Raw genomic sequence first — 21,833 nt, forward strand, 5'->3', positions numbered from 1 at the left:
TCAAAGGAGCTCTAAGGACAGGGGAGATCCTTAGGGGGCCCACTGGGGGAATGAGACATGGGAGAATGAGGAGGGGACAGCAAAGGACTCCCTTACCCCCTTGGCAGCCCTCTGGGGTGAGGAGGCTGTTAGCTCAGCCCCAGAAGCTCTGGAAGGGAGAAAACCAACCCCGGGCACAGCCATGCAGACTCCAGCTTGTCCTGTTCCTGCTTCTGCCTTGGCTCCATGCCAGATGTGTGGCAGTTTTGGCCCTCTGCCCAGGGGTTCCAGGGCTCTGTTTTCTGCTGCCATCAGGGGCGGCTCATGTGCCCCAGATGTGAGCAGGGATGGGGGGTGCCAGCTGCAGGAAGGGCTCTGCCTGATGGGGGTTCCCTGTCCTCTCTGCAGGTGATGTATTTCAGCTCCCTCTTCCCCTACGTGGTGCTGGCCTGCTTCCTGGTCCGGGGGCTGTTGCTGCGAGGGGCAGTTGATGGCATCCTACACATGTTCACTCCCAAGGTAAGGGTTTGGGGCTCCCACATGCCAGGGAACAGCAACAGGTCTACTGGGCCTGGTCAGCTTCCTGCAATTTCATGGAATTTAATGCACTCCGAACACCTGCTATGTGTTGGGTATCGTACCAGGCCCTGGAGAGATGCACAGGGAAGGGGGCATGGGCCCTGCCCTCCAGGTTCCAAGGAGAGGCGTGTCACATCGATTTGGGTGAAATTAGAAAAGGCTTCAGAGAGGAGGTAACATCTGAAAGAGCCTTAGGGAGCAGGTAGGATTGCAGTGAGCTGCCATAGGACATTATAATCAAAGGGAACTGCATGAGCAAGGGTGTGGGAAAACACTGGGCGTGCTTGAGGCAACAGTGGGAAGTCAGGTTTAGCTAGGGTATGAGAGCAGGGAGCTTCATTCATTCATTCATTCATGGGGGCTTTCATTGTGTGGCAGCAGGAACCAAGAAGATGCCTAAGAGAAGAAAGCTCCTGGGAATCTCCCCTTGTACCCAAATCAGAGGAAAGAAGTTACTATTTTATTAAAGATAATAGACTACATGAGTGGTGACTTTAACCTTACCAAAGCCATTCACACTTCCTCTTAATTCTCTCAATAGCCCGGGGAGCAAGATGAGCAGGATCACTGTTCACATTTCACAAAGGGTGCAGCAGAGGCACGGGCATCCTGAAGATGTATACCCAGGTTCCCTAAAGACGGTCTGTCTCCACCCATGGCCTTGCCTCTCTATGACCCTTCAGACCACTGGGCACAACTGGCATGCCTCAGTCCATGGAGGACTAAAAGATTTTCAAATGCAGATTGGCACTCCCTCTAAGTTGCCCCAAGCCCTGTACATCAGAAACCCCAGCTGGTCAGGCTGAGAGTCCATCTCTAAATGCCAGCTGATCAGTAGCAACCAGCAGGGACCTGGTGAGACTATAGCCCATGGGCACAGGGTCAGAGCTCTGTCAGGCCAGCTTGAAGGCCTCAGTGTTCATTGGTGCCACCTTGCACATGTGTGTACACACACACACCCCTTTACACAAACAGTTCATGCAGGATGACACAGGAAGAAGAACCCAGATCTGATAGGGTTGGAAATCCCTGTAGGCTCCTGATGTCTCAGGGGTAGTACTGGCTAGGGCACACGCCACTCCATAGTCACCAGACAGTGCCTAAATGGTCCCTCAGTGTTCTTGGATATAACATCAGAGGTTTACACGTGACCAACTTCAAAGGTCCACTTTATGAAGCACTTAATGAATCTCCTGAGGCATGAATGTGAATCCTGAGCCATGTGGCTGGCCGTAGGGTTGTTGTAAACACATGATATCTGACAAAGAAAAAATAAAAAACCTGGTTTCTTTGGGAGAAAATAGCCATGAAAAGAAAGCCAACTGTTTTTAACAGATTACAACTGTATTTCTAGAACCATGATCAGTCTAAAACGTTCACTTCAGTTTTCCAATTCTACTTTACTAAACTTTAGGAGGAAATTATATGCTCTGGTGTTGTTCCTGAGTGTGGACTTTTACAGAGGTCTCCAGATGGGCCCCTCAATGTTGTTAAGGGCCCCCTGTATGTAACTCTAGGAGCAAGAGGAACAGATTCACAGGAGCAGCTGCTGGTCCCAACACACACAATACTGCTCCCCACTGGATTCAGACACACTTTATCTCTTTAATTATGAAATATCTCAGGCATGTAAACACATATCTAATAATAGAATAAAAATTCTTAGGAAATAAAATATTACAGATGCCATTAAAGTGCCAGTGTAGCCCTCCCTGATCCCATTCCCTTCCCTTCCCAAAGATAGCAACTGTCTTATTCCATTCCTGCTGCTACAACAAAAATTCCTTAGACTGGATAATTTATAAACAATTGAAATTTATTGCTCACAGTTCTGGAGGCTGGGAAGTCCAAGATCAAGGCACCCAGCTTCAGTATCTAGTGAGGACTCTCTGCTTCAAAGATGGTGCTTTCTCACTGCATCCTCACATGGCAGAAGTTCAAGGGAGCTCACTTGAGCCTCTTTTTATAGGGGCACTAATCCCGTCAGGGCTCCACCGTCATGACCTAATCACCTCCCAAAGACCCCCACCTCTTAATCTATCACACTGAGTATTAGGTTCTGTCATGGGAATTTTGAAGGGATACTAACATCCAGATTATAGCAACCACTTTCCTGAATTTGGGATTTGTCTTGATCATACATTCTTTGAAATTTGTTATACATATATGTGTATCCATAAACAATGTTTAGCATTTCTGCATACCTTTAACCTTTACATAAATGACATCATATTATATGTATTCTGCAACTTGCTTTTATTTTTGCTTAACATGATTTTCTAAGATTTACCAATTTTGGTGTATAGCTCTAGTGCATCAGTTTTCATGGATGCATAGTATTTCGCTGTAGGACTAAACTGAAATGTATTTATTCATTCTCTAGTAAATGATCATTTAAGTTGTTTCCAGTTTTCACCATTGCTAATAATGTTACAATAAACACTACGCAGGTCTTCATGCATACATGTTTCTCTAGGGTATCTATGTTTAGGAATGGAATTGCTGTCTCAAAGGGTATGCATATCTTCAGTCTTATTCAATGTTGACTAAATTGCACTCCCAAATGGTTGTATCTGCTAACACTCCCACAAGCTGTACATGAAAATCCCAGTTGTTCCACATTTGTCAGTCTTCAATTTTTGCCAATTAGGTGGATGCAAAATGGTTTATGTACACTTTGAGCAGTAGGGGGTGCTTCTTTCCTTCCTTCTTCCTTTCCCTTCCCCTTCCCCTCCCCTCCCCTCCCCTCCCCTCCCCTTCCTTTCTTTTTTGAGTTGGAGTTTCACTCTTGTTGCCCAGTCTGAAGTGCAATGGCACGATCTCAGCTCACCACAACGTCCACCTCCCGGGTTCAAGCTATTCTCCTGCCTCAGCCTCCCGAGTAGCTGGGATGACAGGCATGCGCCACCACACCTGAGTAATTTTGCATTTTTAGTAGAGACGGGGTTTCTCCATGTTGGTCAGGTTGGTCTCGAACTCCCGACCTCAGATGATCCGCCCGCCTTGGCCTCCCAAAGTGTTGGGATTACAGGCGTGAGCCACTGCGCCTGGCCTTGGGGTGCTTCTTTCTAAAACAGTTTCCTGGATGTTCAGGAAACCATGTGAATCCACTTTGGCATTTGCAGAGGCCAGGGTCTTCATGAGACTTTAAAAAATCAAATCCAGGAGCCAGGCACGGTGGCGTGTGCCTGTAATTTCAGCTACTTGGGAGGCTGAGGTGGGAGGATCCCTTGAGTCTAAGAGTTAGATACCAGCCTGAGTAACAATAGTGAAACCCCATCTCCAAAAAATAATTAATTAAAAATCAACATAAAAATAAAGTGACTCTCCCGAAGCTACACAGCTGGCAAGAAGCAGAGGCAAACCTGAACTCATGTCCACAGACTCCACATCCCATGCTCTCCAGCTGATAAACTGGCTTCATGAAAATTGGTGGCTGAAGGCCAGGTGGCAAGAGTGGAGGGTTAAATAGAAACGTCCCCTACCTTACAATTTCATCTAAAATCATTCCTTCTTATATTCCTGGGAATGGCTAAAAACAAACCCACATTTTGGGGGATGGGCAGGAGAGGTTTTGCAGGAACAAAAACCCCAGCACACTACTGCTAATCTGCCTTTCCCCATCTTACACCCCATGGTTGAGCTGAGCTGGCTGAGAAGGAAGCTCTGGGGGGCTCCATCCAAGCCCCCTCAGGGAGTCAGGCAAGTGAGGCCAATGGTGATGGCTGGGGTGAGGTTCCTATTTACAAATCCCTCCAAGTCATTTGCAGAAAGGGTAGGCCGACTCTCAGAAACAATGGCCTGACAGTCTATATGTGGCAAACTACTGTTGCAGAGCTGTGACTGTTTTCAGCACAGGATTGGGGAGATATGAGGGGTCCTAGGAGCCATTTCAAGTTCTTGCCCTACAATGATGCTGTAAAGTACCAGGTCACTGCCCTAGCTGCCCGTGCTGTGCACTGCTCCATTCATATAGACTATAATATAAATGACATCCCCAGGGGTCATGCTGTTTGGTACCTCTGGCAGAGTCCAAGAATTTTTGGCCAGGGCATCTCAGAGCCCATGTGGGAGAAGCATAGGCTCTCCATAGATTGTGCTAAATGACCTGGAAGGCCTTCCCTTCCATAGAGCCTTCCAACATCAGAAATAATTCAGGCTATCGGACCTGGACTTTGCAGTCCATGTCTTCAAGCAGACAGTTACCGGGTATGATGAATGCGATGTGGCCAAGCTGCCATGATGACCCATTAGCATCGTTGGTAGGACAGTAACTCGTGTTGACGGCTAATGAACTTCTTGAATTCCTCGGGCAGCTTTTCTCCTGATTACTTTCTTTCCATGTAGGTAAAAACCCAGGTCAGCATGGGCTACCTGCAATTAATCATGTGATTTGCTTGATATAAAGTGGTAGATTATGGTCGGATTTTTAACCACCAAAATGTTCAGAGAATGTTTATCAAAATTACAACTGTTCATATCCTTCAGCCCAGCAATTTAACTTCTACATATTTGTCCTACAGATGTACTCATACGTAAGCAAAATGATCAGTGTACAATGTTGTTCATTACAGCATTTGTTTTAGTGGAAAAAGATTGAAAACAACCCAAATAACCATCATTCACTTATTCATTCAACAAAGGTTTATTGAACACCTGTTACGTGCACTGTTCCGAGTCACGGGATCCAGCAGTGAACAAAGCAGACAGACTTCCTGGTCCTCATGGAGCTTACGTTCTGGTGGAGGGAGACAGATGTTGTCAGATAATATAAGATAAAGAATTGTCATTAACTGTTGATGCCAAGGGGAAAAATAAAGCAGAGAAAGGAGGTTTAGGGCATTCGGTGAGAAGAGTTGCAATTATGGACAGTACCGTCAAGGAACGCCTTGCTGAGAAGTGACGTATGAATGAAGACCTGAAGGAGGCCAGGGAGCAGGCTATGTGGATATTTAGAAGTAATGCATTCCATCCTGAACAGAGGGAACAATGAGTGTGAAAAGGACTTGAGACTGGCTGTGGCTGGCATATTCAAAGAGGCCAGTGTGGCTCGAATAGGAGGGGAAGGAGGTAGGACGTATGGTCGGTAGTAATGTACAGCCGGATCATGAGGGTCCTGTGGTTAAGGTAAGAAGTTTGACATTTACTCTGGTGAAAAGGGAGCCATCGAGAGTTCTCAGCAGAGGAGTAGCATGATCTGACTTCTTAGGACGATCATTCTAAGCCTCTTAAGTGGCTTCTGTAGAAAATCTGAGGGAATGAGGACAGGACAGGGAGACCTGTCAGGAGGTCCTCCAGGTGAGAGATGACTGGGGTTTGAGCCCAGGTGATGGCAATGGGAGTGATGAGAGTTGGTTCGATGGAAGATACATTTCAGAAGCAGAGTCAAAAGGGTTTGCTGTTGGATTGGTTGTGAGGTGTAAGAGGAAGAGAGGAGTCAAGGATGACTGTGGCCCTTTACATGAGCAGTTGGAAGGATGGAATTGACATTCATGGAGATGGGGAAGACAGTGGAGGGAACAGATTTGGTGGGGAACATCAAGAGTACTCTTTTGGACATGGCAGGCTTAAAATATCTAATAGATCTCCACATGGAGATGCTGAGGAGGCAGTTGGATGTATGGATCTAGAGGTCAGGTGTGGAGGTCTACATTTGGGAGTGCGGGATAACAGAGAGAATTTAAAGCCACAGATTGGTTCACAATCACCTAGAGAATGAACAAAGACAGAGAAGAGAGCTGAGCACTGGGGCCCTGGTGTTTAGAGGCTGAGGGCGGGATAGCTGTGGGTGGGCGGTGGCGGGGAGGTCGAAGAATAGGAGCAGAGAGAGAGACAGGCAGGCCGACAGACAAACAGACATTCTAGATGCAGAGTGAAGAAAATGTTTTAAGAAAGAGGGAACAATCAGCCATGTCCAAAGCTGCTGAGAGGTCAGGTGATGAGGTCTGAGAATTGACCGAGGCACTTGGCAACAGAGGGGTCACTAGTGACCTCAACAAGGGCTACTTGGGTGGAGTGCTGAGGACAAATCTAATAATAATGGGTTGAAGGGAAAATGGGAGCGAGGAATTGGAGACAAGTAATAGATACCAGTTATTCTCAGGAGTTTTGCGATACAGGAGCAGAGAAATGAGAAATGGGATGGTAACTGGAGAGGGTCATGGGGTCAAGGGTGTTATTTCACAATTTATATGATAAAAATAATCCATCATACACCACTGGTGGGAATGTGAAATGGTATAATGGCTTTGGAAAACAGCGTGGCAGTTCCTCAAAAGGTTAAACAGAGTTAGCATATGACCCAGCCATTCCACTCCTAGGCACATATCCAAGAGAACTGAAAGCATGTTCACACAAAAACTTATACACAAATGTTCATAGCAGCATTGTGTATTATAGCCAAAAAGTAGAAACAACACAATGTCCATCAACTGATGAATAAATTTTTAAAATGTGGTATATGCATACAGTGGGATATTATCCAGCCATAAAAAGGAATGAGGCAGTGATACACATTGCAACATGCAACTCCTGAAAACTTTAAGCTAAATGAAAGAAGCCAAACACAAAAGACCACACACGGTATGAGTCCAATGATATGAAATGTCCAGAATAGGTGAATCCATAGAGAAAGAAGGTGGATTAGTGGTTAGTACTGGGCTTGTGGGGAGGTTGGGGGAGACATGGGGAATGACTCTATGTGTTTGGGTTTTCTTTTTGGGGTGATGAAGAGGTTTTAAAATTGAGTGTGGTAATAGTTACACAACAGTGTGATACGCTAAAAACGATTGAATTGTGCACTTAAAAAATTCAAAAAAGAGAAGGTAGTTTGTGTCATAGGAGAGGAGAAATAAGCAGGAGGGAGAGACTGCAGTGCTCAGCTGGAAGAGTTGGTCTCAGCTAGGACCACACACAGTCCCCATAGTAGCAGGAGGGAAAGGCTGGGCCACGGCGCATGGACGCTGGCAGGTGAGATGCTGTGGGAAGGAGCTCTCTTCTGATTGTGTCATTTTTCGCAGTGAAGTAGGAGACAAGGTGATTGTCTGAGAGCAGGAAGGGAGGAGGAGGACTTGGAGGGCTAAGGAGGAGTGAGTGTGAAGTAACTGTGTAAGAGATGGGAGAAATGTGTGGGCAGTGGCAGCACGAAGGGCCCCCTGGAGGCTAGGGGTCAGGAGTGTGCAGTGGACTCTCTAGCATGGAGATCGCCAACACTTCCGCAACTCCAAGATAGACAGTTTTTCACATTTGAACATCTCTGAAAGCACGCTGTTTCCGACGATCAGTGAGGCAATTATACAAGCCTGTTTTTTCTGTTTTTGTTGGTTTTTTTTGACGGAGTCTCGCTCTGTTGCCCAGGCCAGAGTGCAGTGGCGTGATCTTGGCTCACTGCAACCTCCGCCTCCCGGGTTCAAACGATTCTCCTGCCTCAGCCTCCCAAGTAGCTGGGACTACAGGCATGTGCCACAATGCCCGGCTAATTTTTTGTATTTTTAGTAGGGGTTTCACCATGTTAGCTAGGATGGTCTCGATCTCCTGACCTTGTGATCCGCCCACCTCGGCCTCCCAAAGTGCTGGGATTATAGATGTGAGCCACTGCGCGCAGCCCAGAAGCCCGTGTTTTACAATGGATAGTGCTTATTCTGTAGCAGGCACTTTTGTGTGCACTTTGCATATATAAACCCATTTAAACCTCCTAACAACCCTGGAGAGGTCGGTACTCTCATTATCACCACTGTGCAGATGGGAAAACTGAAGCACAGAAAGGGTGGATAACTGTAGGGAGGAGGCTATGAGTGGGCAACAGCAGAAGGGGCAGTGTGCCAGGAGCTCTGGGACTCTGTGGGTTCCCAACTTAGCATGTTGAGGAAGTGCCGAGGCTGGGAGCAAGGGCAGTGGCCCCAGGAGTGTGGAGAGTTCCATGACCACTCTGATGTGGACAGTAGGGAAAAAGAGGAACACACCCACACATATTCACGTGCGTGTATGTATATGTGTATGTAATGTATGTGTGTGTGTATACTGCTGGTATACGCATAAAATATCACAGGGGGGTACACCGGAAACTGACATCATGGGTACATCTGGAGAAGAAGAACCAGGTGTTACAGGATACAGGGATGAGGAAAAGGAGACTGAGGGATCGGGGTGTGCATCAACTCCTAGAGAAGAGAAGTGGGTTCTCTGCAAGTTCTGAAGGCCCAGGGGTGGAGGTTAGGGGTGGAGCTTCTTGACTCCCACAGTTAGAGAGAGGGCTTCTCAGCAGGATGATGAAGGTGGCCCAGCCTCATTACCAGAGCGTGGGCTCTGGAGCCAGACGATCTGGTTCAGACTCTACCTCATCACTCAGCAGTTGTTGGGCAAGTTCCTTTGCCCTGAGGGTCTCAGTTTCCGCAATGGCAAGATGGGGTGGACAGTGGCACCTCCCCAATGGGGTTGTCGGGAAAGTGCTTAGGACTGCTCCTGGCAAGTGGAGAGCATGTGGTAAATGTTAGCTATTATTATCCTCGTCCCTTGTGAAGGTGACACTGTTCTTGGGCAGCGGGAGCCCAGTGCTCCAGTGCCATCTGGTGCTTCGTGGCCCCGGCTGGCTCCACACCAGCAGGTGCACAGCAGTGCTGAGAAGCAAGGTGTGTGCTCCTGTCACGCATGCGCTCAGGCTAGGGCTCAGCAGCTGCTTGTGGGCTCAAAAGCATCATCATGCCCACGAGTCAAACGCCTTGATACACTTTGTTTCCCTGAGTGAGGAAGTAGTTCAGCCATCATGCTGAAGAATTGGCAGGAAGCTGTTCCTCTGTTTTAGAGCAGACACCCCGAGGAGGGGGCGAGCCGCCTTTTCTGAGGGAAAAGCCCATTGCCCATCCTCCTCTTGCAGTCACATCCTGATGCCTGGAAGGGGCGTGGGGTTTTCTGAATCTGGCCGGGGGTTCATCCTCTGTTGTTGCTTGTTAGAATCATGCACCATCACCCAGGAATCCTGGAAAGAGCCCCTTTAAATGCAAGGAACAATAAGCATTCTGTACTGAAGGTGCCAGGCTCAATTTACCCCCAGATTAGCACTGGGCATCTGTGGTCATCTCCATCAGCAAGAGTACCCCTCTGAGCTGCAGGCTGGAAGGGAGGGTGCCCAGGGACCACCTGCACCAGGCACTTTTCTCCTCAAAGGTCAAGTTCACCCTCAGATGCTTTCCTGGGCCCTATCAACATCAGATTTGGTTCCATCAATTTGCTGGGTGATACGTATGTGGGTGATAGGTATTCATTACACTATCTTCTCTGCCTTTGTACATTTTATAATAAATATTCCATAATTTTTTAGTGGAAAAAGAGCAATCTTAACAAACAAATTTTTTTTCTATCCAAAGTTGTTGAATATTCCATCCTCCAAGAAATCTCCAAGCTATATAGGGCCAGCTCTGATCTGCAGTTTGGGATTGTGGTATCCTCCCAGGAGTGGCTGCCTCCATTTATGAAATTTGACCCTGAAGTGTGACTAGGCTGAGGAATTTATTCACATCTTTATTGATCCTAAACCTTTTAGGTTTAGGGTGTGATGGAAATCTTAATGATGGTATGAATTTGGGTCTCACAGGTAGTCTGGACCTTTTTGTGAAAATGATTGACATAGATAAAAAAGGAAATAATTACCAAAAAAAAAAAAAAAGGAAAGAGAAGAGGAAAGGATAATAAAATGAAGCCAGTATTAAAATAGCCATGTTTTAGAAAGTAGAAGTTTGAAGTCCTAAGATCGTCCTCTTATTCTAGAAGACAGCATCTTAGCCCAAAAGGCTGGTACAACTTTGTAGCCCCTTGTCTGGTCCCTCCTGCTCAGCTCACAACTCATAGAAAAAGGTCAGCTTTTGTCTAGTCTCTCTCTCTCTCTCTCGCTCCCGACTCTTTCCTTCTCTCACACGTGCCAGCACTGTTCATACAAACAGGAGAGGAGATGGGCTCCACCCCTAAGCACAAAGTGTTGAAAGGAAGACGAGACACATAAACCTGTGACGTGGGTATTGACAAGAGCTGTGAGAGCTCAAGGACCAGAGGCAATTAGGAAAAACTTTAAAGAAGAAATGATATTCATGGTGGGTTTTGAGAAATTTGTAGGAGTTTACCAGAAAGTGAGTAGGAGGAAGGGAATTTCAGGAAAAAATTACAGCCTAGGCAAAGGCCAGAGGTGTGCTTTTGAAGAGGAGTAAGTTACCTGCATGTAGAATGTTCAGAACATAAAGGAATGGAAAAAGATTTTCTAGAAGACAGTGGGGAACCATCAGATATTTTTCAGCATGCAAGCGACGTGACCAGAGCTGTGTTCATCTTGTTAAAAAAAAACAAAAACAAAAACAAAAAACCACTTCAGCTAGATTAAATGTAAAAGTTTAATTGAGCAATGAACAATTCGCTAATCAGGCAGAACAATTCGCTAATCAGGCAGAACAATTCGCGAATCGGGCAGCCTTCCGAGCCAGAGTAGGTTCAGAGACTCCAGTGCAGTCATGTGATGGAAGAAGATTTATGGACAGAAAAAGGAAAGTGACTTACGGAAGATGGAAGTGAGGTGCAGAAACAGCTGGATTGGTCACAGCTTGGTGTTTGCCTTATTTGAAGTTGGTTCGAGCAGTTGACCACATTTGATTGGCCAAAACTCAGTGATTGGCACAAGGGTAGGCTACAGTCTGTTTACACCTCCACTTCTTACAGTTCATGATGTACAGAGAAACCTTTAGGCCAAACTTAAAATATCTAAGGAGGCAGCTTTAGGCTAAACTTGATTTAATAATCTCAACATACCTTCTTTTAGAAAATTTCATAATTCTTCCTAGTTAGAACTCACCAAACTGCTCAGAGCCCTCCCATGAGGTGCTGGTTTCTAGCCTAGGAGAAGCGCCCAGGCTCCAGCAGATTGTGGTAGGGCTGTTGTGATTGACATTTGCGAATACCAGAGGAGGCCAGCCAGCATGCCTTCCAGGCATAAGTCACCCTTATGCCCATTTCTGGAGCATTCTTGAAAAATTATTTTTCAAAAACTCACCCAAGAGATGGGAATTAACACAAGTCCTTTCCCAGTGGAACTATGATTGTTTTCTTCTCCTTTTCTATTCTCCAGATTTCTACTAGGCACAGTACAGGCCCCCATTTCCTTATCCACAATACCAAAATCCAAATAGCCATGAAAAACAAAAATTGGTTTGGTTTGGTTTTGATCCTCCAGAACTCACTTGGAAGCAAAATGACCTGCACAGATGTGAGGCTATTTATAGTCTTTATTGATTCACTTGGTGTGAATATTCATATTTTGCTGCAGAAATACTAACGTGTTTGATTACAGGGTGCTGCCCCAGACCCTGCTGGGGGTGATATGTAATTAAGTAGCATATGCATCACATTACCTTTCTAAAATTAAATTAGAAACAAAAGCTTGTATTCCAAAACCAGTCAGCCCCCAGGGCTTTTAGATAAGGAACCGTGGGCCTGTATTACATTTGTAAAGAAGGTAACATTTCATCTTACTTTAAAAACCAGACATCCGCCTATGCAAGGGGGTGGGCCCCCAGCAGTACAGGACAGCCCTGCCCTGTTTCTCTGGTCACCTGGCTCTCCCATGCTCCGCTGTGGCTATTTTAAACCCTTCCAATCCTTCACACCCTCTGACCTTCCTTCCGGCATACTCATCCCCAGCAGATGATTTTGCCTCCTGCTTTACAGGGAAAACAGAAGCTGCCAAGAAACTCCCTCAGATGACAGAGACAGAAACCGACCATAAAACCTGCCTGCAGCTGCCCCATCCTGTCCTCCCTCCCTCCTCTCTCAAATGAGCAGCCCAAGGGTGGTCCTATGGAGGACAGCTTCCCACCCCATCCCGATCCCTACCCTCCAGCTTTTCAAGACACTCCATTGAAAACAAAAACAAAAAAGAAATCAAGACAACATATAAAAATGCAACCCTTTGTTGATTTCATAGCCTTCTCCGGATACTGCCCTTCTCCTGATCCGAGGCTTGCTTCTCCGAGGACCTGCTTACCCACATTGCCTCCATTTCCTCCCCTCTGCCTCTCTCTTTTCTTCACTTCCCCTGGCTTCTTGCCAGGGAGCAACTCCGAGGAAGCCTCTGAAGCCCCCTGTGGCCTCCTGCGTGGACTCCCTCAGGGTCTTTCACTGGCAGCACTGACCCTTCCTCCTCCAGGCTCTGGGTTTTCCTCTTGCCTCTGCTGCTTCTCCTTCTCTGACTCCCTTTCAGGAGACTCTCCCTCTTCCCTGCATTCAGTGTTGGAGATAGGAGCAGGCTTTTGCTTCTTATCCCTCTGTAACTACAGCCACAGCCTCAGCTCCTGCCAGCACACCTGCTACTCAGAAAGTCTATCTCCAGCTTGTCTCTCTCTGGCTCCAGGCTCATCTGTCCAGCGGACCACTTGGCATTTCATTTTAGATGTCTTAAAGACACATTCAGCTCAACCTTTGTAGAACTAATGTCCTGATCCTCCCTGCCCAACACCATCAACCTGTTCCTCTCCCACTGTCCCCATCTCCACCTGCTCAGGTATGCAGGCCAGAGACATGGCCCTCACCTCGGCCTCTCCCTCTCCAGCATCTCCCATCTCCAGTCCATCCCGAAGGTCTCCTTGGTTTGTCCTGCGAAGATCTCTCCATTGGCACCACCCAGCCCCTTAGCAAAGCCACTGTCCCCTCCAGCCTGGACCCCAGAAGCCGCTTCCTCGAAGGTCTGCTGAATCCACTTATTTCTTTTGGAAATGCACATGATTGTGTCCCCACTTCTTTAAACCCCTCGGTGGCTTCTTGGGTTAGGTGCTTTCTTAGGGTGAAGACAGGATCTGTACAGGCCTTTGATCTAACTTCTCTCCTCTCCCAGCCCTACCTGTGCCACCCCCACCTCGTCCTCACTGCTTCAGCCACCCTGGCACCTTCCATTCCCTTTTACACACCATCCTCTGTCCTATCTCAGGACCTCTGTCCATGCTTCTTCCCGAATGTTCTTCCCTCCCCTTGTGGCCTCGCTTTCATCAGCTTTCAAATGTCAGCTTGAGGACCCCTTCTTCTGGGAAGCCTTGCCTGGCCTCCCAACTTGTTCAGATCCCCTTCTTATGGGCTCTCCAAGCACTGGGTGCCCAGCCTTCACAGCCCTTGTCACATTTGCAATTTAGCATTTGTTCGTGGGATCATTTGACCAATGTGTCTCTCTCCAACTAGAATGTAAACTTGGAGAGCCTGATTGCTTCTATTCCCCATGGCCTCTGCATCGCCTAGCACCAGGCCTGGCCCACAGCAGGTGCTCAGAGATTGATGGATGAGTGGCTACATGTCATTGCCACAGGGAGGCCTTGACACCTTATACCTAATAAGTACACAGGGGTGGGCTGGGGAGAGGGTCTCCTCATAGATGCCAAGGGGCCCTTAGATCCTTAAGGCCTGGGTTCTGGGCTTTCTTGGTGGACTAAAGATGGTTTTACTTATTTTGTGCTGGATGGGGGACCTTAATCTCCCCTGGAGTACACATGCTGTCTGACCAGGCAGTCCTCCTGGGTCTCCATTTGTGCCCAGGCCCTGAAGCTCAAAGGCTCGACTACCATCCCCCACCTCTTTCCCCTCAGCATGGGGGTGCCGCCCTCAGCCTCACTGCTCTGCCAGCGCTCTGAGCTTGCCAACATCTCAGCTGTTGGAGTGCTGCCAGGAGTTGAGACATGCCTAGGAAGCTGCTGAGATGATGGCAGGTGGGCCCTGTGTCCTGGATGTTATTTAGGGCTGTGATATTAAAGACAGCTAAAGTCCAGACGGACCCTAGAGTCCAACACCTCACTGTTCAGGTGAGGACTTACCCACAGGTACTCAGAAGGGGCAGCCGGGCCAGGACCCACACAGGGCTTGTCACCACAGGGAAGTGAACTCTCTGAATTGGCTCCTTGCCTCCTTAGTCTGTCTGGAGTGAGGTCACTTAGGTTCACCTCAGCAGCAAAGGTCACAGGGGAAAATGCTTTAAAGAGTATAGGTGATAGAAAAACTGAGTCAGGAGTTGGTGCTGGGGCCGGGGGCGGGGGCCTGGCCCAGAATATCTATATTTTAGTTATCACTCTGCCCCGACTAACCAGCTCCATTACCTTGAGCAAGTCATTTCATCTTTGGGGTCTCAGTTTACCCTTTAAAAACATGAATAGTAATCCTTGCTTCCTGCACCCCCGCAAAACACAAAACACCCTGTCCTGACGAGGTCAGCCTCATTCTGTTGGGATTGAGTGCCACTACGTACAGGCATTACTTGTTGCTATACATTTGATCCTCACGTTCACTCCGAGACTCTATTACTATTCCCTTTTCTTCAGATGAGTAATCTGAAGCTCATAACACAGTCAGTGCCACTTACCAAAAGCTTCATAGCCATTTAAAGATGGGAGTCAGGATTTGGATCTGGATCTGTCTGAGACTCTAAAGCTCTGTGCTGGGTCCAAGGCTTGGTCCCTGCCCCAAGGAACAAACAATAAAAGGAAAATAGGTTGGAAAGGGGCTTTGGAAATTGCTCCATGCCATCCCAATGCTGTTGCAGTTCGGGCTCCTGTCAGGTGTGAGGGCAGATGGAAGCTTAGGCGGAGGCCCTTTCTCCAGGAATTGTCTAGGTTCTGTGCTTCAGGTTGGGTGATGGTGGGGAAAAGCAGGCGGTTTGGGTTTTTTTTCCTTTCATGAGGTAGAGGAGTTTGAGGTGGAGAAGGCGTCAGGGAGATTCTGGTATTCTCAGTTTTCTTGTGCTGCTGTGCAAGCTGTTCACTGCAGGACTCTAGGAGGCACCTGTCACACTGTAGTCCAAGTGAATGGCACTCTCTAGAGCTGTGTACTACATGACCATATGTGATGGCCTTGACGATGTTCCTTAGTATGATGGCTGCATGGGAAGCCATGGTAGCAGTTAAATTACTATGTAAGCACTCAGCATTTATGTTGTCTTACCAAGTCCTCACAGTCATCCTCTGAAGTTGATACTCTTGTGATCTGCGTATTGGGGAAACTGAGGCTCAGAGGAGTAGGGAAATTGCCCAAGTTCACACAGCTTCTTACCACTATGGGCTGCTGCCTCTGAACTCTGTTGAGGCTGAGAAAGGGGGTGTGCACATGAATAAAACCATCCCCTCTGTGTCTCTTTTCTTCCTCCTGCCTTGGTCTTCTGCCATAGCTGGACAAGATGCTGGACCCCCAGGTGTGGCGGGAGGCAGCTACCCAGGTCTTCTTTGCCTTGGGCCTGGGCTTTGGTGGTGTCATTGCCTTCTCCAGCTACAATAAGCAGGACAACAACTGCCACTTCGATGCCGCCCTGGTGTCCTTCATCAACTTCTTCACGTCAGTGTTGGCCACCCTCGTGGTGTTTGCTGTGCTGGGCTTCAAGGCCAACATCATGAATGAGAAGTGTGTGGTCGAGTAGGTGGCATCTCTCCTCCTGTCCCTCCTTCTCCCTGTCTACCTTACCTGGGAGTGGGCAGGGGTGGGGGCGCAGGTGTGCATGGGGAGAGAGGTCCCCTCCACTCAGACTGAGGAATGGAGATCAGAGGAGCACTCTCTGTCCCCAGCTCCGGGCCACAGGGACAAGCTCAGAGATGCCTCTGTCAGTGACCCATGAGGTTCCCACCTGGGTGCCTGGGAAGAGCCTCCAGGATCTCACCCATTGCCCACCCCTGCCTTCTTACCTGGTCCTCTCGGTTTTGTGCTGCAGGAATGCTGAGAAAATCCTAGGGTACCTTAACACCAACGTCCTGAGCCGGGACCTCATCCCACCCCACGTCAACTTCTCCCACCTGACCACAAAGGACTACATGGAGATGTACAATGTCATCATGACCGTGAAGGAGGACCAGTTCTCAGCCCTGGGCCTTGACCCCTGCCTTCTGGAGGACGAGCTGGACAAGGTGCGGGGACAGGCTGCCCTTCCCAGGACAGGCAGGAACCCAGAGAGCAGCTGTGGCCGGCGGGAGCTTGGGCTCAGGCCTCAGGATGCTGACAGGTAGTCATTAGTTTACTTGGTAAGCAAGGATCTGCTGTGTGTCCAGAGGGAGTGAAAGGGAAGAAAGGTATTGGCCAAAGTCCCTGCCCAGAGGTAGGCTTGAGCCTAGACAAGAAGTAGGGCAGACACACACCTCTCAGAAGTCACAGTAAGTGTATGGGACGATGTTTCCATTTACTGAGTGGGCTTCTCGTGCATCAGTCACTGCCACAGGTAATATACTCAGAACAGTGCCTTGACATGGTGTGCATCAAAGAAGTGTTGAAGTTAGTGTTTGCCCGTTGCTGTCTATCTCTTTTGACGCTCAAGACAGCTCTATGAGTTGAGTATTCATATTGTTCCCTACCTTACAGATGAGTAGCCTATGAGATGGGGGGCTTGATCAAGGTCTCATAACTAGTAAGTCAGAGAGGCAGTTAGTTGGGTCCAAATCCAGTTAGTTGGGTCCAGAGCCCATGCTCAGGATCACCTCTTGATGCTTCTGCCCCTCCCCAACCTGTCCCCATTCCAATCTCACTGCCATGATGACTCTTAGACTTTAGGGTGGTGCTGGGGGTGCTGACTCCTCCTCAGTGCTCAGGCCCATGTTAGGACACCTTGCTTCTATTTATACTTACATAGCTGGACACTTTCAAAATGACTGTTCTGTTAGAAGGGGTAACAGGAAAGGGACATACCCACAGCATCTTGGGAACCAGGCTGGAGCCAAGGCTCACATGGGGCGGAGCCAGCTCCCATCAGCCTGGGTCAACCCTGTCCTTCATGGGACTGGGGAAGGGGGTGCTTTCCCTGGGCTCTATGTTAAAAGTCAGCTCCATTGGATGGTACCATCCTAATGCTGAGGGAGCTGCATCCTACACCCCAACCCTTTCCCTGCGGATCAAGAGCAAAAGAGCCCAATCTCGGGCCCACTGCCCTGGTTTCTTCCCCAGGTAACTGGCAGCATAAAGGACCTCCCCTTTTCACATTCTCTGAAACCCTGCTCAGTTCTCATGGGCATGGCCTGGTTCTCTGAATTAAACTAGGTTTATAGCAGTGTTTTCATACAATACAACTCCGATAGCATTCAAATGACAAGATTATACACTCACTTAGTGGGGAAGAAATGTTCCCTTACAATCACTGAACATTACAGGGCAACGTGTAAGTGACAGGGGGCAGTGTGTGGTCACCTGACCCACAAGCATGGCCCAAGCATTAAAGCAGTGATTCTCTACCTTGGCTACCCATTAGAGTTCCTGGGGTATTTTTGTTTGTTTTAAAAAAAAACTCTGACACCCAGCTTCACCCCAGACCAATCCAGTCATTGTCCGTGGGGTGAGACCCAGGTGTCGGTGTTTCTAAAGGCTCCGGTGTGCTTCCATTGAGAGCCGAGGCTGAGACCACTGCATGAAGATCTGCAGTTCAGAAGTTCTGAGCTGGGAGCGGCCACAGTGTGGCTGGAGCAATCAGGAAAGACATCTTAGAGGAGCAGGGTCCTGAGCTGGGTGTATTTCTAAACATGAGCATCTTCACTTGAATCACCTAAGCTCCTGGTACAACCCGTAGATTCCAGGTCCCACAGGTGAACTCCCAAGTTGGTGTTTTTGAGCTACGTCTAGGGGATTCCAATGCCTGCTAAAGTTCGAGACCCACTGGCCAAAATCAACAGGATTTAGGTGGAGGTGGGAACCCCTGTGAAAGAGGGAATAGTTATTCCAAAAGTTTGAAGGGCAGAGGGAAGGAAGCAGTGGGCTCCCCAGGGAGGGGTGACCTCACAGGCCCTGCTTTCCACCCCACCTTCAGTCCGTGCAGGGCACAGGCCTGGCCTTCATCGCCTTCACTGAGGCCATGACGCACTTCCCCGCCTCCCCGTTCTGGTCCGTCATGTTCTTCTTGATGCTTATCAACCTGGGCCTGGGCAGCATGATCGGGACCATGGCAGGCATCACCACGCCCATCATCGACACCTTCAAGGTGCCCAAGGAGATGTTCACAGGTAACTCCTCCCTGCCCCCATGCCCAGGCTCTGCAGGCTGCCCTTGTGGACAACAATTCCGTTCTGGCTTCTGACTGGGTCCTTCATGACCCCACACCCAGAAGGCTCCACCCCACACTGGGACACAGCTGGAGCCTGGCTGTGCCACTCAGTGATTAGCACTCACAAGCCAGGAAGAGAAAGCTACTTGGAAATCTGGAGCAAACATGAGCCGGGAGGCCTGCATCTAGGCCCCTTTGTTAGTTCACTTGCCCCTCTCCCCAAGGGCCTGCTGAGTCGTCTTGGGAAGTGGGTGCTGAGTCGTCTTGGGCAGGGGCACTCACTGGCCTTGCGCCCTGTTCCATCTTTGTCACTCCAGTCCCGGGCTGTGTCCACAGTTCCCTTCGGGGTTTGCTGCGTTGATCTAGGGCCCATAGAGGGATACCTCTCATCTGCATCCCTAAAGCGGGGTATCTTTCTGTTCTCAAGTGGGGAAACTGAGGTGGAGAAAAAGACTGGTAACAATCAGATGAATCATTTAAGTTAAATACAGCAATTAAGTAGCGCACCTGCCACGGGCCAGGCCCTGTGCTGGGGCAGAGGCATGGGATGAAAGTTAGACACAACGCCTTCCTCAGGTGCTCCCCGACTAGTAGAGCGGGGCTCAGAACCTGAGCATCTGGATCCCTCGTGCAGGACTGAGCCTGCTGGCAGGAGGGCTGCAGGCATGCTTTGGGGAGGGATGTGATGGGAGGGGCCTGGGTGCCCCCGAGACCCCCAGGGCCCTGCCCACCCTGCACCTTTGCCCCCAAACCGGCCTCCCGGCTCTCTGTAGTGGGCTGCTGTGTCTTTGCATTCCTCGTGGGGCTGTTGTTCGTCCAGCGCTCCGGAAACTACTTTGTCACCATGTTCGATGACTACTCGGCCACCCTGCCACTCACTCTCATCGTCATCCTTGAGAACATCGCTGTGGCCTGGATTTATGGAACCAAGAAGTAAGAGGAACATGGGGGAAAGGTGGGATGGGAGGAGGGGTCTGTCCTATCATGACTCCCTGGAGAGGCAGATCATAGAGTCACAATGGCAGAGCTGAAAGTGCCCTTACGGATCATTTAGGGAAACTGAGGTGTAGTGCAAGGACATGGCTGCCTAAGGCCACTTGTCCAGGGAGAAACAGAGCCAGTCTGAGGACTGGGTGTCCTGGGTGCAGGTCCTGGCATCATCCTTAAATTACCACAGCACCTTTCCTGGGTACCAACTCTTCAGAACTCTGTTAAGTTTTTGTGAAGGGCTTAGTGGGTCTACAAGAGGCCCTTGCCCTCCAAGAACGTGTAGACTTCAGCAGCCTGGTTCACAATTGTAAGGGCCTAGATAGGGGTATGAGATGAGGTATGATTTTGGCCCCAAGTTTGGGGTTGTGCAGGGTAAGAGGATTCAGCTCTAAGAAAGGATTGGGTCTCACAGCCTAGGCCTAGGGCAGTTGTACACTTACTGTAAACTCTTGGCCTCATCCCTCATGTTAGGGCAAATACGTGTTCCCAGGAGTTCTAGAACTAGGTCTCTCTGACTCACTCAGCATCGACCATGACCACATTGTCCTTGTCCTTGGCAAGACCCACCTCCACTAACCCACTTGGTCTGACCCTCCCTGATGCCTGGACCTGGTTTGGCAGTGGGGCTCTTTCACAGGGGCCGTCTGCTTCCTAGGAGAGCACAGGAGGGGACAGGGAGTGGGGGGAAGGACACTCCTCTGCTTCCACCTGCTGTGGGCCAGGGCTGTAAGACACTGCCACAAAGGACTCTGGCTGATTTTTGTGTCCTGGACTCCTTCGGCAGTCTGGTGATGTCCCTGTATGTTACTTTAAATGCATAAGATAAAATGTGTAGGGTTATATAAGAAACTTATTATATTGAAAAATAGCAAAATATCATTTAAAATTTGTGATATAGTAATGTATGAGCACTTTATTTTTAATGCATTGTTACAAGATCTAGCTATAGATCTAATAACAGTGGTAACTTTGAAGTAGTGATGAAAATCAGCGATGACTCAATATTTTCAATAACTGGGATGTAATATGAAAATATCTGTAATCTATTGGTGACAGTCACAGGTATTGTTAATACTACTGTGTTTGCTTGCATTCATAATATAATAGAAAGTAATGCAAGATTTTAGTTAGCGGTTATTGAGGTAAAGATGATTCTTTTGTATGCCATTCAAGCACAAGCCTGCCTGCCTTCCAGAATTCTGCTCACCCCTTGGTGAGAAACCCCTGAGTCAGGGCAGCTCTCTACCTTTGGACTCTAGAGAAGTGCACTTCTACTGCTTTTCCAGCAGGGGGAGCCTTCAGCCAGGCCAGTGTGAAAGGGCTAGGCCCCTCCCTGAACACACAAGCTGTCTATACATAAAACAGACGTGCACCTGCCCAGGGTGTGTCTGGTGGGCCCTATCATATCTCTGGATGGGGTATGATGTGACGGAATCAGAAGAGGTTAGAGGAGGACAGTAGAGCCTTCCCAGAGGCCAGCCAGACCACACACAATGAGCACTGAATGTGAAGAATAGAAGAGCCCAGGAGGGAGGGACTGGGAAACGAAGACTTTCTGGAGGAGATGGTGATGGGGGAAGAGGGAGGTGTGACTGAGGGATGCCAACTGCTGGACCCTCTGCTATGCCTGGCAGGTTCATGCAGGAGCTGACGGAGATGCTGGGCTTCCGCCCCTACCGCTTCTATTTCTACATGTGGAAGTTCGTGTCTCCACTATGCATGGCTGTGCTCACCACAGCCAGCATCATCCAGCTGGGGGTCACGCCCCCGGGCTACAGCGCCTGGATCAAGGAGGAGGTGAGGGGTGGGGCCCCAAACCCCAGGGACATTTGCATCTTCTCAGGCCTTGAATGCAACCACTGATAGGGATACACCTTTCTAGGGCAGCTGCTATGTGCCAGGCCTTGCCAGGTGCCTCACACCTAAACCGCAATCTTACAACAAGCCAAAGACAGAGGTGGCATCATCCCTGTAGCACAAACGGGGACACCGAGGCTCAGAAAGATTAATGCACTTATCCAGTCTTTCTAACCCATATTCTCTCTCCATGCCTGTGGAGTGGAATTAGTCCATTTTATAGTAGGAGAAACCACCCTAGACCCTTTCACCAAGGTGACCAGGTAAACCCCCATCCTTGGCTGTGCCTGGCCAGGATGGTGGGAGGGGAGAGGAGTGGAAGGCCATGGGTGAGGGCAGGAGAGCAGTCTTGGAGGGCCTGGGCGGGGAGGGCTGTCACAGTGCCGGCAGCAGCCCTTAAGGCAGCCCACCCGCA

The 21,833-nt window shown here is 49.0% G+C and overlaps 1 protein-coding gene across 1 annotated transcript in view, besides 1 other annotated feature; it reads left to right on the forward strand.

The window, feature by feature from the left end:
- The window catches only part of SLC6A17 (solute carrier family 6 member 17), a 51,709-nt gene that overhangs the window by 25,748 nt on the left and 4,128 nt on the right, over positions 1-21,833 (forward strand). Inside the window, exons 6-11 of the mRNA NM_001010898.4 lie at positions 388-498; positions 15,731-15,972; positions 16,265-16,457; positions 18,338-18,530; positions 19,345-19,504; positions 21,196-21,358. Coding sequence (NP_001010898.1) covers positions 388-498; positions 15,731-15,972; positions 16,265-16,457; positions 18,338-18,530; positions 19,345-19,504; positions 21,196-21,358 — 1,062 coding nt within the window. The remainder of the gene's footprint in view (positions 1-387; positions 499-15,730; positions 15,973-16,264; positions 16,458-18,337; positions 18,531-19,344; positions 19,505-21,195; positions 21,359-21,833) is intronic.
- Positions 21,306-21,806: an enhancer, noted in NCBI's record as "H3K4me1 hESC enhancer chr1:110740169-110740669 (GRCh37/hg19 assembly coordinates)". NCBI's record gives its function as "activates a minimal SCP1, AML or CMV promoter by ChIP-STARR-seq in naive H9 embryonic stem cells {active_cell/tissue: H9 hESC(naive)}" and the evidence as "EXISTENCE:reporter gene assay evidence [ECO:0000049][PMID:30033119]".

Source organism: Homo sapiens, chromosome 1, assembly GCF_000001405.40.
Source record: "Homo sapiens chromosome 1, GRCh38.p14 Primary Assembly".
NCBI lineage: Eukaryota > Metazoa > Chordata > Mammalia > Primates > Hominidae > Homo > Homo sapiens.